At 42.6% G+C, this 15,167-nt stretch overlaps 1 protein-coding gene across 5 annotated transcripts in view, besides 1 other annotated feature; it reads left to right on the forward strand.

Annotated features, from left to right (window-relative positions):
• IYD (iodotyrosine deiodinase) overlaps positions 1 to 14,786 on the forward strand; it is a 36,958-nt gene extending 22,172 nt beyond the window's left edge. For 2 of the 5 annotated variants that reach the window (NM_203395.3, NM_001318495.2), the window contains exons 3-5: positions 1,162 to 1,321; positions 2,916 to 3,072; positions 6,872 to 14,786. In NM_203395.3, coding sequence (NP_981932.1) covers positions 1,162 to 1,321; positions 2,916 to 3,072; positions 6,872 to 7,054 — 500 coding nt within the window. In that variant the 3' untranslated portion in view covers positions 7,055 to 14,786. Of the gene's footprint in view, positions 1 to 1,161; positions 1,322 to 2,915; positions 3,073 to 4,210; positions 4,384 to 6,871 lie in introns of all 5 variants that reach the window. The other 3 variants (NR_134655.2, NM_001164695.2, NM_001164694.2) reach the window with 3 other exon arrangements.
• Positions 12,430 to 12,724: a silencer, noted in NCBI's record as "tiled region #14815; HepG2 Repressive non-DNase unmatched - State 22:ReprW". NCBI's record gives its function as "represses a minimal TATA promoter and a strong SV40 promoter by Sharpr-MPRA in HepG2 cells {active_cell/tissue: HepG2}" and the evidence as "EXISTENCE:reporter gene assay evidence [ECO:0000049][PMID:27701403]".

Consider the following 15,167-nt stretch of genomic DNA (forward strand, 5'->3'; position numbering starts at 1 on the left):
CTGAGATTGTGACACTGCACTCCAGCCTGGTGACAGAGTGAGACGCCATCAAAAAAAAAAAAAAAAAAAGAATTCCCCAACTGTTGTGTGTCCCCAAGGACAAACCTCACAGTGCCACACTCATAGCTTTGATACAGGGACCAAACACTGTATAGCTAAGTTGCCTTTTGAAGAGTGTTTTTAAAACCATCTTACCATGTACATTTTGCCTCCTTCAATAACCTTCACAACTTTATTCTTTTTCAAGATTACTAAAACAAATGACAGTCTGGAGAATTCTGGCTGTCAAAATTTCCCCTGAGTTTCTTTCCTTAGTAGGCATGGTGCAGTTACTTGGGGACATTTTCTTCCATGTAATTAGAGAAGCAGAGGTGAGTTCCCACAACCCTGGAACTACAGAGCTTGATCATTGATCAGTTGGCCTGACGCTGAACAAAACAAACTTGGCAGCAGCATGACAGGGTTCACTGCCAGGCATTTGTTTTCCAGATTATCTAACTTCATTTTGAGCAAGTATGAATTATTTTTGTTTTTATTTTTTTGAGACAGAGTTTCATTCTCGTCACCCGGGCTGGAGTGCAGTGGCACCATCTTAGCTCACTGCAATCTCTGCCTCCAGGGTTCAAACGATTCTCCTGTCTCAGCCTCCCAAGTAGCTGGGATTACAGGCGCCCACCACCACACCCGGGTAATTTTTCTATTTTTAGTAGAGACAGGGTTTCACCATGTTGGCCAGGCTGGTTTTGAACTCCTGACCTCAGGTGATCCACCCACCTCGGCCTCCCAAAGTGCTGGGATTACAGGCATAGGCCACTGCCCCTGGCCAAGTATGAATTACTACGTTTATCCTTAAAAAAAAAAAAGTTTTTTTAAGAGACAGGATGTCACTCTGTTGCCAGGCTAGAATGCAGTGGTGCAATCATGGCTCACTGCCTCCCGAGCTCAAGCAATCCTCCCACCTCTACCTCCCAAGCAGCTGGGACTATAGGCACACACCAGCACACCCTGCTAGTTAAAAAAAAAAAAATCTGCAAAATTTTGTTTGATCCTCCAGCTCCAGCCTCCCAAAGTGCTTGGACTACAGGGATGAGCCTCTCCTTAATTAGCAGTCTCACACTTTCCTGCAGTTTTAATTTCTGATTTTAATGGAATGGGTGACAGGAACAGCCCCGAGTGGGGCTCACACAGAGCCCTGGACCTTCGTGGTTGTGAAGGACCCAGACGTGAAGCACAAGATTCGAAAGATCATTGAGGAGGAAGAGGAGATCAACTACATGAAAAGGATGGGACATCGCTGGGTCACAGACCTCAAGAAACTGAGGTACAAACAGTGGTGGAACTGGGGATGTTTGCCTTGGCCTCTTAAAATAAAATCACCACCACCACCATGTCCTGGCTTTGTTGTAAGCGTGAAAAAGCTTGATTCTATTCTGCCTCTTGGAGGAATTACGGAAGTTAAGTCCGGGCTCACTCCTGTATTGCCATGTGAGCGTTTGGTAAATAGGCTCTGACTCAATTATTTGCTTAGTAAATAATTGAGGAATTACTTCACTTTTCACTCGTCTGGAACATAAAATGGTAAAATTCTTCTCAAGATCTTGCATGAAGCAAATTACATTTTGCTAAAGTGATCAGGTCTTCCAAATGATTTTACTAAGCAGGTTTTAGTTTTAGGACAAGTTTAACACAAGTGTAGTTATCTGTGAGGCCTTAGTAACTTTTTGGCTTCCTCAACTCCAGGAAAGAAGTGGAGGGGAATTCAGTGTAAGTAGTTTCTCTGTGGTCCCTCAACAAATGCAGCCCTCGGGGTCTGCTCCGGGCGCCGAAGCACAGTCCGCGTGCTCTGTGGAGGGAATGGAGAGTGTTGGTTCATCCAGTGAGTCAGGAAAGTGGATTACAAGTGGCTCCTCTGTGTTGATATTTCCATGATTTGAAATTCTGATGCTTGGCTTTAAGCCACTTTATGTATTTTAACTATTTTCACCCTTGCAATAACCACAGGGGGTGGGTACACAAGAGTACATTTTATAGAGGAGGTAACAGCTCCAGGGGAGGCCAAGTAGCTTGCCCAGTGGCCAAGACAGCCCAGCTCCAGTGCAGATCTTCTAAAGCGTTACCATTTTCCCTCTTTATAGGGAGAAAAGAAATGATAATGGTCAAATGTGACTAAGCTGGTTGAAGTATGGTTAAGTAGCTTTGAAAGTGTAACATACAGATATTCATAGCGTAAGAGGAGCCATGGAGAAATACACAAGTGAGTTTCGTGTGCTTTGGAATGAGGAAGCATAACCAAGCTAGAAATGAAATGAATGGTGATTGTCTCTTGCTAATGAATGATATAAGATATCCTAAGGTAAAATCCCAATATATGGGATTATATGACTCTCTGTCCTTTGACTATCTGTGCTAGAATAAAACTTCTGCCAAAATGTGTGGGCCAGGGTAATGAAATCAAGAAAGATATTCTGAGCTGGAAAACAAAAATTCAGTTCTGCATTTACACCTTACATGAATGATCTCCCTCTCCCACAGAAGTTCCCTTCCTTTTTTCTATAACTGGGTGAACAGCATTGCCATCTGCCCACCTGTGATTTTGGCTAAACCTCACTGCCATCCTTGCCTTCTCCCTTGCTGAATTTTGACCCAGTGCATGCTGGGTAATAGGACCTGCCCTTGTATCTTTCAGCATTTCATATGTCTTGCCATACTAGGCACTTATTAAGACATGTTTATGAAATTGAATGATCCTGGTCAGAAAAAGTGGAATGAGACAAAAACAAAAATTCTGCAGCTTTTCAATTTAAATATAAAAGATGAGTAAATATGTTTTTATTTTTATCATAAAGAAGCTAAGGTAGTAAAAGAGAACAAAAAATATGGGCAAATATTATCCTGAATCTCTTTTCTCTTCACAGAACCAACTGGATTAAAGAGTACTTGGATACTGCCCCTATTTTGATTCTCATTTTCAAACAAGTACATGGTTTCGCCGCAAATGGCAAGAAAAAAGTCCACTACTACAATGAGATCAGTGTTTCCATCGCTTGTGGCATCCTGCTAGCTGCCCTGCAGGTATGTTGAGACATCAAGGGTTACAGGGTGGCCTTATTAGAACATTTCAGCTGAGTTTTCAATTCAGGGACATTTGGAAATTTTTTTTTAATCTAAAGTAGAATTCCTAAGTGAGGTAACTCTGATGTGAAAACTGACTCTGGAAACCTGGATTGGTGACTATGATGGTTCAGCAAGCTGGGAATTCACTTATAACATCATTTCAAGTTAGAAAAATTGGTGTTGTGTTTGCAGTCATCTGTAACAACATGAAGTTTCAAGGGTTTTGGCAGACCCACATGAAGTACTTTGGAGCCTAAAAGTCACAGAGGCTAACTCCCTGGATACGTTTACTGTTGCTCTCAGAGATGATGGAATGACTAAAAAGCCATGAGAAGGGCTCTTCATAGAGGCCCTTTTCTGAGAAGTTTGCGTTGCATGGCATTAGGAAGAAGGTCATGTGCTTTTCAAAAATTCCATCTGCATAGGAACGAGAGCAATGCTAACATGAAATGGAGCAGGATTGCTGTATAGTTTTCAAACTATTCATGCATTCACTCAACAGTGCATTCACTCCACAAATATTTTCTGAGCTCCTTTTTGTTTTGTTTTGAGACAGGGTCTCATTGTGTCACTCAGGCTGGAGTGCAGTGGCACCATCACAGCTCACTGCAGCCTTGACCCCCGGGCTTAAGTGATCCTCCCACCTCAGCCTCCTGAATAGCTGGGACTATAGGCAGGCACCACCATGCTAATTTTTGCATTTTTTGTATAGATGGAGTTTTGCCATATTGCCTAGGCTAGTCTCAACTCCTGAGCTCAAGTGATTCACTCTTCTCAGCTTCCCAAAGTACTGGGATTACAGGCGTAAGCCACCATGCCTGGCCTCTGAGCTCCTTCTACGTGGCAGTTCCTGGGAGCCACTGGGGATAGTTGTCTGATGAACTGTATATTCTAGCAGAGACTGGGGGCTGGGTAGTGGATAGAGAGAGATGGTAAACCCATAAAATAAATGTAGAAAACAAGATTATAAGAGCAAGTAACCATACTTTTGAGAGACAATGGATTAAAAAAAAAAGAGAGCTTCTTCACTATCTCAAAGAAAAACATGTATGTTGAATAACACCTCCCAAAATGTAGTCATTGAAATGTGTTTTAGGTTTTTGGAAAAATTATCCTGAAGGAGCTGGCATTGATTTCCTTCCTGAATCTGTAAGCAGGTAAATAATGGAATCACCATGCGGCATCAGACTGCGAGGCACCGCCACCTGATTGAGGGTCCTGGAAGAAGCAGCGAAGCCTGCAGCAAGCTCAGCTCACAAGGCTGCCCAGGTGCCTCTGCAGCAGGCAGTCTTTTTCACTTTGCCATTGAGTTTGCTGCCCCCTAGCTTTCATAAGGCATAATCCCGAGAGTAGGTTATGATTAGTGATGGAGGAAAGAAAAATCTCCATGAAGCCCGCATCTCCAGTATGGTGACTGGGTCTGATAAGCGCGCCATGCATGTCTTGTAGAGGCAGCTTCCAGAACTTCCTGGTCAGGTTTAGAGGTGGTGATCTGATTGGAAAAGCTGGAGAGGGGCAGGCGGGGAAGTGTCTGGAAGCTACTCATTGCTTTTACTTAGATGTTTGTTATTTGGAGGCTTGGAAAGAGGTCGATGGGGTACCCCTTGGCCACTGAGTCCCCTATCAACGGGCATCAGCATCTCACTGGGTGGGGATGCTCTGCTTCCATGGTTGGCTCTGTAGTCATAGGAACTTGCCGTGGTGGTTGTTGTTTAGAATATAATATACAAGCCTTTATTAATATATTAAATACCAAGAGCTAGTCGTAGCTCTATAATTTTAAAGTAGTGATGAATGTAATGATATTTTAAAATATCTATAACAACTGTAAAATGATATGAAAATAACTGTGGATTTCATTGGTGATAAAGTCATAGATATTGCTAACACTACTGTGGTTTGCTGCCTACATTTATAAAGGAAGAAACTGCTAAATTTCAGTTAGATGTTAGTGAATATGAAAACTTTTTTTTTCAAATTCAAGTTCATGGACCTGCTAAATTCAATCCTTGGCCCTTTGGGGGTCTGAGGATTCCAGTTAAAAAAATCCTGACCTATAATAAGACCAAAGTACTCACATCGAGAGAGTGAAAGATAAAATAATAATAGAAGTCAACTTAACATTAATAATATTAATAAGAGGAATTGTTTAATATGGTCTGTGTATTTGCAGGTTTCTACTGCTAGAGACATACAAAATTCAGTATGGAGTAAAAGCTATGTCTTGAAAAGGACCAAGATATAAAATGACACTAAATTAAGGTGTAAATATTTTCTCAAAAAAGTTTAAGACTTGGCCAGGTGCGGTGGCTCACGCCTCTAATCCCAGCACTTTGGGAGGCCAAGGCGGGCGGATCACGAGGTCAGGAGATCGAGACCATCCTGGCTAACATGGTGAAACCCGGCCTTTACTAAAAATACAAAAAATGAGCCAGGCGTGGTGGCGGGCGCCTGTAGTCCCAGCTACTCGGGAGGCTGAGGCAGGAGAATGGCGTGAACCTGGGAGGCGGAGCTTGCAGTGAGCGGAGATCCCGCCACTGCACTCCAGCCTGGGCGACAGAGCGAGACTCCGTCTCAAAAAAAAAAAAAAAAAATTAAGATTTATCCATTGCAAGTTCAAATACTATGTGAAGATATGATCAAGGAGAAGAAACGCCATGATAAAGTAGAGCTAATGACAGAAAGAAGAAATCAGTTAGGTTTTTTGATGCATGTATTCTTGAGAACAGTCTCTCAGGTATTGTGAAATCTTCGTTAATCAAGGTATAGTATATGATGATGTTGTATAAGAGACCTTCAGCAAGAAACTATATTGAGTCACTCTAGATTCATATATGTGCATGTGTGCATGTATCTATATATGGGTTCATATATATATGGGTTCATAAATATATATGGGTTCAAATGCCAATATTAGAGTTATTGATAACAAATCATAGATTCCAGGCAGATCACTGGAGTTCAGGAAAGAATATTTAGCAGGAAAATTGGCCAGGTATGGTGGCTCACACTTGTAATCCCAGCACTTTGGGAGGCTGAGACGGGCAGATCACTTAAGCTCAGGAGTTTGAGACAAACCTGGGCAATATGGCAAAACCCCATCTCTATAAATAAATACAAAATATAGCCAGGCATGGTGGTGCATGCCTATAGTCTCAGCTACTTAGCAGACTGAGGTGGGAGGATGGCTTGAGCCCAGGAGGCAGAGGTTACAGTGAGCCGAGATCATGCCACTGCACTCCAGCCTGGGTGATAGAGCCATACTTTGTCTCAAAAAAAAAACAAAAAACAAAACCGAATATGTATATTTAGTAGGAAAATTATGTCGCATTTGGGCTAGGACACTGCTTTGGTGGACTCTCTTATCATTTGGTTCTTGTACCAGGACACAGACCAACCCCTTAGCTAAAAGGAACTCCCTGTTGTTTTTGCCTTTCCTCTACTGTAGTTGGATTCCTACAGTATTTTTCTGTAAAATAACCATTCCTATTTCTTAAGCATCAATGAAAAATAATAGTATTTTTCTTCTTCCAAAAGCTTGCCACTGCTTGGTTAAAAGAAGGGAGGGGGTGGGGAGATTGATGGGGGCAGGGAGGTTCACGATGCCATTACTTGAGCTGGCAGCCTCTTTGCTGCCCAACTTCAGGGAAATGATAGGAAGAGCAGGTATAATCAGGACAAGAAGGTCCCCAGGTTAGAGGGAGAGCAGTCATTCTGCCTGCTGACTTTAAAATGCTTTCTTGTCCTCTTATTTTAGAATGCAGGTCTGGTGACTGTCACTACCACTCCTCTCAACTGTGGCCCTCGACTGAGGGTGCTCCTGGGCCGCCCCGCACATGAAAAGCTGCTGATGCTGCTCCCCGTGGGGTACCCCAGCAAGGAGGCCACGGTGCCTGACCTCAAGCGCAAACCTCTGGACCAGATCATGGTGACAGTGTAGGCAGGGCCCCCCAAGGGAGTGGCAGGGAGATGGCGCCCCTGCTTTTCCCTGAGCCTCTCGCCTGCTCCTCTTGGGTCTCTTGGCTGCTCTTTCTCCAGGTGTCAGGTCCCCTCATTGCTCTTCTCAGGTGGCCACACTATGTCAAGAAGCCTCTCCACACTCTGTGGCACTTCCAGTCCCATAAATCCTGTTTCTTATCCACTTTGGAAATGCATGAACACTTTACAAAGAACATGCCCGGGTTTTTACATTTTAAAAGTTATTCTAGACAATCACTATTGGCTTTTTTCTTTTATTTTTAAAAAACTCACATAGAGGAGACAATCAGAAATTTACCATAGTCCCAAGAATTCAGCTACATGATGACTCGAATTTAAATTTAGATTAATCAAATGGTCTCCTGTTCTCTGATTTCTGGTGGCTTTTAGACACTAATTTTTGAGAACTACTTTTTTTTTTTTACCAAACTTCAGGGACACTCTGCTAGTTTTGAATAAGTAACCATCAAAGTTACTAAAACATGGCCAGGCGCAGTGGCTCATGCCTGTAATCCCAGCACTTTGGGAGGCCGAGGTGGGCAGATTGCCTGAGCTCAAGAGTTCGAGACCAGCCTGGCCAACATGGTGAAACCCCATCTCTACTAAAAATACAAAAAATTAGCTGGGCATGCACTTGTAATTCCAGCTACTCAGGAGGCTGAGGCAAGAGAACTGCTTGAATCCGGGAGGTAGAGATTGCAGTGAGTCAAGATGCTGAGATGCCACCACTGCACTCCAGCCTGGGCAACAGAGCGAGAACCTGTCTCAAAAAAAACAAAAACAAAGTTACTAAAATGTCACCTTCACAGAACAGGACAGGGTACCCTTGGGTCGCACGGGCCTGGCTGGCATGTAAACGGTCAGTTGCACTGCCTAGTGGTTTGGTAGATCTGACTTGTAAGCAGTTCATAGAAGCTGCTCAATACTCAAGAATCTTGCAAGACAGTTATTAAACATTCATAGCTTGAAATTGCCCATGGTGGGAGAGTTTACATCACAACCACTACAAATCAGCACTTGCTTTCTTCTTCTTAAAGAGAGCTGCTTACCATACATAGCACCCACAGTGTCTCCCTTCTCTTCTACCCCAACCCCTGAAACACACTGACCCCTATTCTCCAGATGACAGCACAGCTGTTTGGGACTGATAGGGTCACAGTTGCCAGGTTGGGAATGCTAGATGTAGTCTTCACCCATCACCTTCTGTCGTCCTCCCAGGGGTGTCATATTTACAGAGGCAAACTCTTACAGCTTGGATGATTTCTCATCAAGCAACTCTACTCACCTCTTTTTCCCCTTTCCCTGTGCGTTTCTTCTTCTTGTCCTCATTTTCCTTGAGAAAACTCTCTCTATAAAAAATTTCCATAGAGTATGTGGCTGATAAACAACAGAAATTTGTTTCTCACAGTTCTGGAGGCTGGAAGTCCAAGGTCGGGGTGCCCTCATGGTCAGGTGCTGGTGAGGACCCTGATCTGGGTTGCAGACTGCTGACTTCTTATTGTGTCCTCGTGGTAGAAAGAGGGTTAGAGCCTCTGGCATGCCTTTTATAAGGGTACTAATCCCATCATGAGGCCCCGTCCTTATGACCTCATCACCTCCCAAAGGACCCCCTCCTAATACCATCACATTGGGGGTTAGGGTTTCAACATATGAATTGCGGGGGACACAAACATTCCGTCCATGGCACCTACTTCATAGGGTTTGGCATGCTGCTCGGTACATGGTTAACATTCATAAATGGTGGGGGCCCTTACTGTGGTAGAAACCATTGTCACTGCAAGGCAGCCCTGCTTGGGATTCAGGTGAACAAATGTAACGTGGGTGGGTGAGGGACTCCCTCCTCTTCAGAGAAGCCCTCCTGTGGCTCAGGGGCAGCTGCAGGGCCAGATGGAGTTGGCCTGCAGGGAGTCAGCCTTACCCCATCAGAGACCAACTTGAAAGATTTTTTTCTCTGTGTAGTTCGTGTTATCAATCTGATCTGCAGCCAGGTTATTTACTTCTGAAGCATTGGAGTTATCGATTGCCATTGCCCCATGGTTCTCACTCTTTGCAGGCACTCTTCAAATTTTTATTTTAAAAATTATAATGCAAACATCTGGCCATCACCTTAACCAAGTGACAAAGTCCTAGCACACCATTAATGGTAGGATAACTGACATTAAGTGTTCCTGCTGGGATGAATTATGAAGTATTCCTTCCAAAGATGTCAATGGAAACTAATCGAGTCTTACACCTAATTTTCAGTTTACAGTAAATACAGAGGATAAAGAAGTTAATGGCATGGTGGAATAACCAAAATGTGTATCATTCTACAAAAAAATAGGCCTGGACTATTTAAGGAGTGAGTGTCACTGTGGGAAGAATAAGAGGGGGACTGTCTTGTCCTTGCTACTCAAAGAGTGGTCCTGGGCCTGTATCATCATTGGGACCACCTGGGCGCTTGTTAGAATCAAAGACTCTCAGGCCTCACCTAGACATCCAGAATCAAAATCTGCATTTTAACAAGATGCCCAGGTGATCTGCATGCCTGTTAAAGTCTGAGCTCTGTTGCAGATAACCAGAGACCCAACAACCAAAGGCAAAGCGTAAGCCTTGATTGGATTTTGGTTTAGGAAAAATCTCATAGGTATAAAAGACAACTGGGAATGTTGAATGTGGATCTGGTGGTAGGTGATATTGTTAGTGATGTGAGTGATGCCTGCTGAAGTACTGAGAGATGAAGCATCATATTGACAACTTACTCCAGGAAAAAAGGTGTGTGTATAGGTGTGTGTTTGGAGAGTGTGAGCGAGAACTAACATGGTAAAATGTTAGGTGGAGCATATACAGTTCTCATTATACTCTTATTTTAAATTTATATTTGAACACAGTCAAATCTGAATGGAAATACATTTAAATAAGCATTTCTTTCAGTCATATAAGTAATTTGCCTAAAAATGCCCTCTAAGTCCATCATTAGGTTAAGCGATTTACTGAAGGTGCAGATATCATGCTTATTTCATTGGGTTGTTTTGGAATGTCCCCCACTTGGAGAGTTTGAGGAATGGAAATGAGAATCGGAGGAGAAATAAGGCCAGAGGCTCACATTGCTTGCAGGGAACCGACTGAGTAATGAAGAAGAGGAAGGAAGCCCTTGGAAGGAACGTAAAATCCATTTCAGCCTGCCGCCCCTTGGAATGGAGGGTCTTCTAGGGACCAGAAACACCAGACACTTCTTCTGCCCCAAGCACACCCCACACTAATTTCTGCTGCAGCATCACGATCAGGGCAAATCAGCACAGCCCCCCAGCCATCAGTGGTGTCTAGAAAAGTAAGGATAATTTTCTTCCTTCTCACTGCAGCCCCAAGCTCTTATTAACCTTCTTTTATGTGTTCATTAAATGCAGTCATGTGACAACTGTGTTCAAAGTTAGAAATAGTGGTCGGGGAGGCTTATAGATCCTCTTGCTGTTCTGAGGCCTTAAAACCAAAAAAATAATGGAATGATTGCATCACTGCGAGGAAGTATACTTAATTAAGAAAGTTGAAAATGGTTTGTGTCTTACTAATAGGACTCACCTGAAGACTCTACTTTGCCAAGAGGGAATTTTTAACTCAAAGTTGTGTCAGCCAGCACGGGGTAGAGCCATGGTCCTCATACTTGCTGGCATCCCTCATCTGGTGGTCTGTTAAAGCACAGATTGCTGGGCCGCACCCTCAGGGTGTGTGATTGTGTGATTCAGTATTGCTGGGTGGTGCCCAAATGCTCCAGTTCTAATGTATTCCCAGGTGTTGCTGATGCTGGTGATTGGGTACCACATTTTGAGAACCATGGGGCATTGGCAATCAACAAATGCAATGCTTGTGACTTGACGTGATAAAAGTTCATTTATTGGGCAGGCAAAGTCCTCTGCAGGCCTGGAAACCCTCCGAGACAATTACTTGCATGGGGTAACCCAGTAATACTGTGGGATGCAACTTCTAGGGCATGGCTGCCTCCTTCCTAGAGGCAGCAGGGGGAGAAAACACTGGAAGAGGTCACCCCAACAATTCCATCGTACCTTGGCCTAGGAGTGACCTCCTCAGTCTCACAACCCTTTGGCTAGAACTAGTCATGTGACCTCACAGGAGGTGGAGCAGTGTCGTCAATGTTATCATCCCCCTGCACCTGCAAGGAAGGAGGCCCAGATGTGTGTAGGTGCTGGATGTCTCTTCCCCAAAACATATAACTCTGGATTTGGAAAACAAAACTGGATATAACAGAAAAGAAAAGGAGGGGAGAAGGAAAGTTGAAGAAATTGGTGAAATCAGAATAGGACAGTGAAAGGCATAAAGATTTTCTTCTGAAACGCTAAGATCGGTTGATATTTGTCTAATACAGCTTTAAATAGAGTATCACTTTGGGCCAAAGAAAATTGATATAAACATACATAAAGTGGAACTAAGATTGACTTCTTCCTAGACATCTCTGCCTCTGTCCACAAAATGGAAACTTCCATCAAGGAGTACTGGAGGACAGTTCAGTATTTCTTCTTATTTGCTCCTCCCTATGAAAGGAAGAGTGACTTCTCTGCTGCATGATATTGGGGGTAAATAGTTATTGCACATTTGCTCAAACCCCAGCAAAGTGCACCCCATTTTAAGCCAAATTTACAAACTTACAAAGATGATCCACCAATAGTTTTCTCTATTTACTTTATTCTTGCTCTGTCACCCAGGCTAGAATGCAGTGGTGTGATTATAGCTCACTGCAGCCTCCAACTTCTGGACTCAAGTGATCCTCCCACCTTAGCTTCCCAGGTAGCTGGGATACAGGTGCACGCCACCACACCCAGGCTAGTTTTTCTAAATATTGGAGTTCCCAAAGAGTATTCAAACTGATGTGATATTTTAAAAGACATTTTGTAAGCATCTTTTAGGAATATCAGTAAGTGGAAGAAAAACACATAGTTATCAGTGGATATTATGCCAGAGAGGCATGAGAAATATAATTTTATTTTGCTAGGTATCAGCAGAGTGCCCTCTTATAATTTGTGTGAAATGGAAACAAAGGTAACATCGTGTTTTCAATTCACACATATATACAAGTAATGAGAGGTCCAGAAGAAATGTGGCTTCAGCTCTGCTGCTACTGTGCCTCCCTTCTCCTGCCCCACTCAGCCCACAAAATAGGCTGGACACTCAAAAAACGTTGCGTTTATCTACCTTTTAGAGAGGGTGAATAGCAGAGAACTGGAGGTGGGAATGGTAAGGAACTCCCAGCAGGGTAGTGGAGGGAATGGGCTGACGCATCTAAGGCTGATGCCAGGTCTGCTCCCTATCTGGGTGGCCTCAGCAAATGACGTCCAGCACATCCAGGGGCAGGCTCAAGGGAGAACAGCCCCCAAAGCTAAGATCCTGCCAAGCTAAATACAGTAGTTCTAATGAAATGTGAGAGGCTATAATCCCATTTGGGAAATTCCTAAAAAGTCATGAGGCAGGGGATTGGTTTATGTTATTATCATGACCTGAGAGTCATGGCTCAGAGCCAAATGTTCAGGATTGAATTCAACAGCATTTAAATGTCTTTAGAGCAGGATGGAAATATGTTAGCAATGCCTGCAGAGTGCCAAGTAAACGCAAAAGCCAATGAGATCATAAAGGAAGTTGTTAGCTAACCTAGGTGGAGTCGCCAACTTCCTTCTACTCTAATAATTAAAAATAAAAATAATACTTGGGAGGTAACTGGAATAAAGGTTCTAAAATCAAAACCCTCTGAAGGGTGAAAACTGGGAGCCTCCTGTTCCCATAGTAACCACAGCACTCAGGGCACTGTCTCCCAGCGCTGGAGTACTGTCTTATGACCAGAGATCCTAAGCAACCTCTGCTCATCTGAGTTGTCCACCATATTGTGGGCATGAGTCCTTGACAATAGTAAATAGCACCTCTGTTCCCTTATTGGGTAAATGATTTTCCAACTCTGGGAATGTGTAGAATTCATTATGGAAATAATGCAATAATTCAAATCCATAATATTGATACTTTCATGTTAAGTTTAGGACTAATCTTGTGTATGCTCCTTAAGTGATTTGAATCTTTAAAAAGCTTATGATTCCAATTTGAAATGTGAAATTGATTTTACGTTTGTGATTTGAAGTTGAAAGGTATAAGAATATTTAACTTAGCTCATGAAAAGTATTAGACTAGATTTACTATAAGTTTAATGTATTAGATTTACAAGAGATGCTTAAATATATGAGAATGTTTTGTCTTAATTGGTTATAATCTTGTCATATCAATGATTTGAAGTGCTAAAATAGAAAATTAAATATGATAAATTACACAAGAAGTTTAGAATGTTTAAAAGATTTTAATAAACAAAGCCTATAACTAAGACTGATGCTTTAAGGGAGTTTGGCTTATTCAACTTGAGTTAATCAAACATTAATTAAAGCCCCCCTTCCCCAAAGAGATTTGTTTTATTTATTTGTTTACTAGTTTTATAAATAGGATAATAAAATGTGTGTATGAGGTCAGAATGCTTTTGACAGAAGTAATACAAACAAAAAAACCTCACTATAACCCAAACAAATAAGGGATTATTTTTCCCTCCTAGTGAGAAGTCTGGAGGTAGATATTAGATGCTGGTCTATTGCTTCAATGAAGTTAGTGCCAAAGTCTCAGTGGTTCTCTTGGTCTTTCTTCATAACCACCGGATGCTGTTATAGCTTCACCAATCACAACAAGCACAGTGCTTGGAACATAATAGGTGCTCAATAAATATTCAGTACATATTGAATGTGTGCAGAAATATATCTCAATCTAGTCATAAAATTTTAGAATGCAAGATCTGAAAGGGACATGGGAATCTGTGTTTTTAACGTGTTCCAGGTGATTCTGCTGACCAGGTGAGTATGGTAAATGTGGCAAGTATTCTCAAGTGAGCTCATCAGTCCCAGGGCTGTTAGCACCTTCCATCTGCCAGGCCCTCCCTGGTCTAGACCTTCAGCCTTGACCTTGCCCTGAAACGCCAAACTCTTACTCCCAGCTGCTTTCTCTGTCCCTCCACTTAGATGTTAGTAGGCACCACAACCTTTTAATGCTCAAAATACTACTTTTGAGTCCTTTCCACCCCTTACTTGGCCCCTCAATTCATACTTTTTGGGATGGAGCCTCAAATCCAGAAATCTTCTGTATTAGTCCATTCTCACACTGCTAATAAAGAATACCTGAGACTGAGTAATTTATAAAGGAAGGAGGTTTAATTGATTCACAGTTCAGCATGGCTGGGGAGGCCTCAGGAAACTTACAATCATGGCAGAAAGAAAAGCAAACATGCCCTTCTTCACATGGTGACAGGAAGCAGAAGAATGACAACTGAGTGAATGGGGAAACCCCTTATAAAGCCATCAGATCTCATGAGAACTCACTCATTCTCATGAGAATAACATGGGGGAAACTGCCCCCATTATTCAATTATCCCCCATCAGTTCTCTCCCATGACATGTGGGGATTATGGGAACTACAATGCAAGATGAGATTTGGGTGAAGACATAGCCAAACCATATCATCATCTTAAATTTCTGTGATTCTTTTATTCTGCACATCCAAATCCATGAGCAAGTTATACTGACTTTATCTCTGAATATTGACCATGGGAGGGGAACAAGGAGAAGCAGTGTGAACAGGAAAAGCATGCTGCCTGCTGCTGTGAATAATAACATATCTTGCTCTGACCCAGTAGTCTTGTGTCTTCTGTCAGCATCCACACTACTAAGTCAGGCTACCTTGCTATCTTGCGAGGAGGGTAAAATCTTAGGTCCTTTACAATTCACGACCCTTGGCATTAGATGTTCTCTCCACCTGCAATGCTCCTCCCCTAGATACTGTTATGGCTGCTCCCTTCATGTCAGTCATGATTCAGCTCAACCCAGTACCTCTGCTGAGAAACTTTCCTTGACCACCCAATCTCCAGTACCCCCAACCAAACCCCAGTCACTCTCAATCACTTCAGATGTTTATTTTCTTCAGAGCACTTATCATTATTTAATAAATTTTAAAATTTTTATAGGGCAACATTTAAAATATAGACACAAAATCCTAAGAATATTATAATG

This window comes from Homo sapiens, chromosome 6, assembly GCF_000001405.40.
Source record: "Homo sapiens chromosome 6, GRCh38.p14 Primary Assembly".
In the NCBI taxonomy this organism is placed as follows: domain Eukaryota; kingdom Metazoa; phylum Chordata; class Mammalia; order Primates; family Hominidae; genus Homo; species Homo sapiens.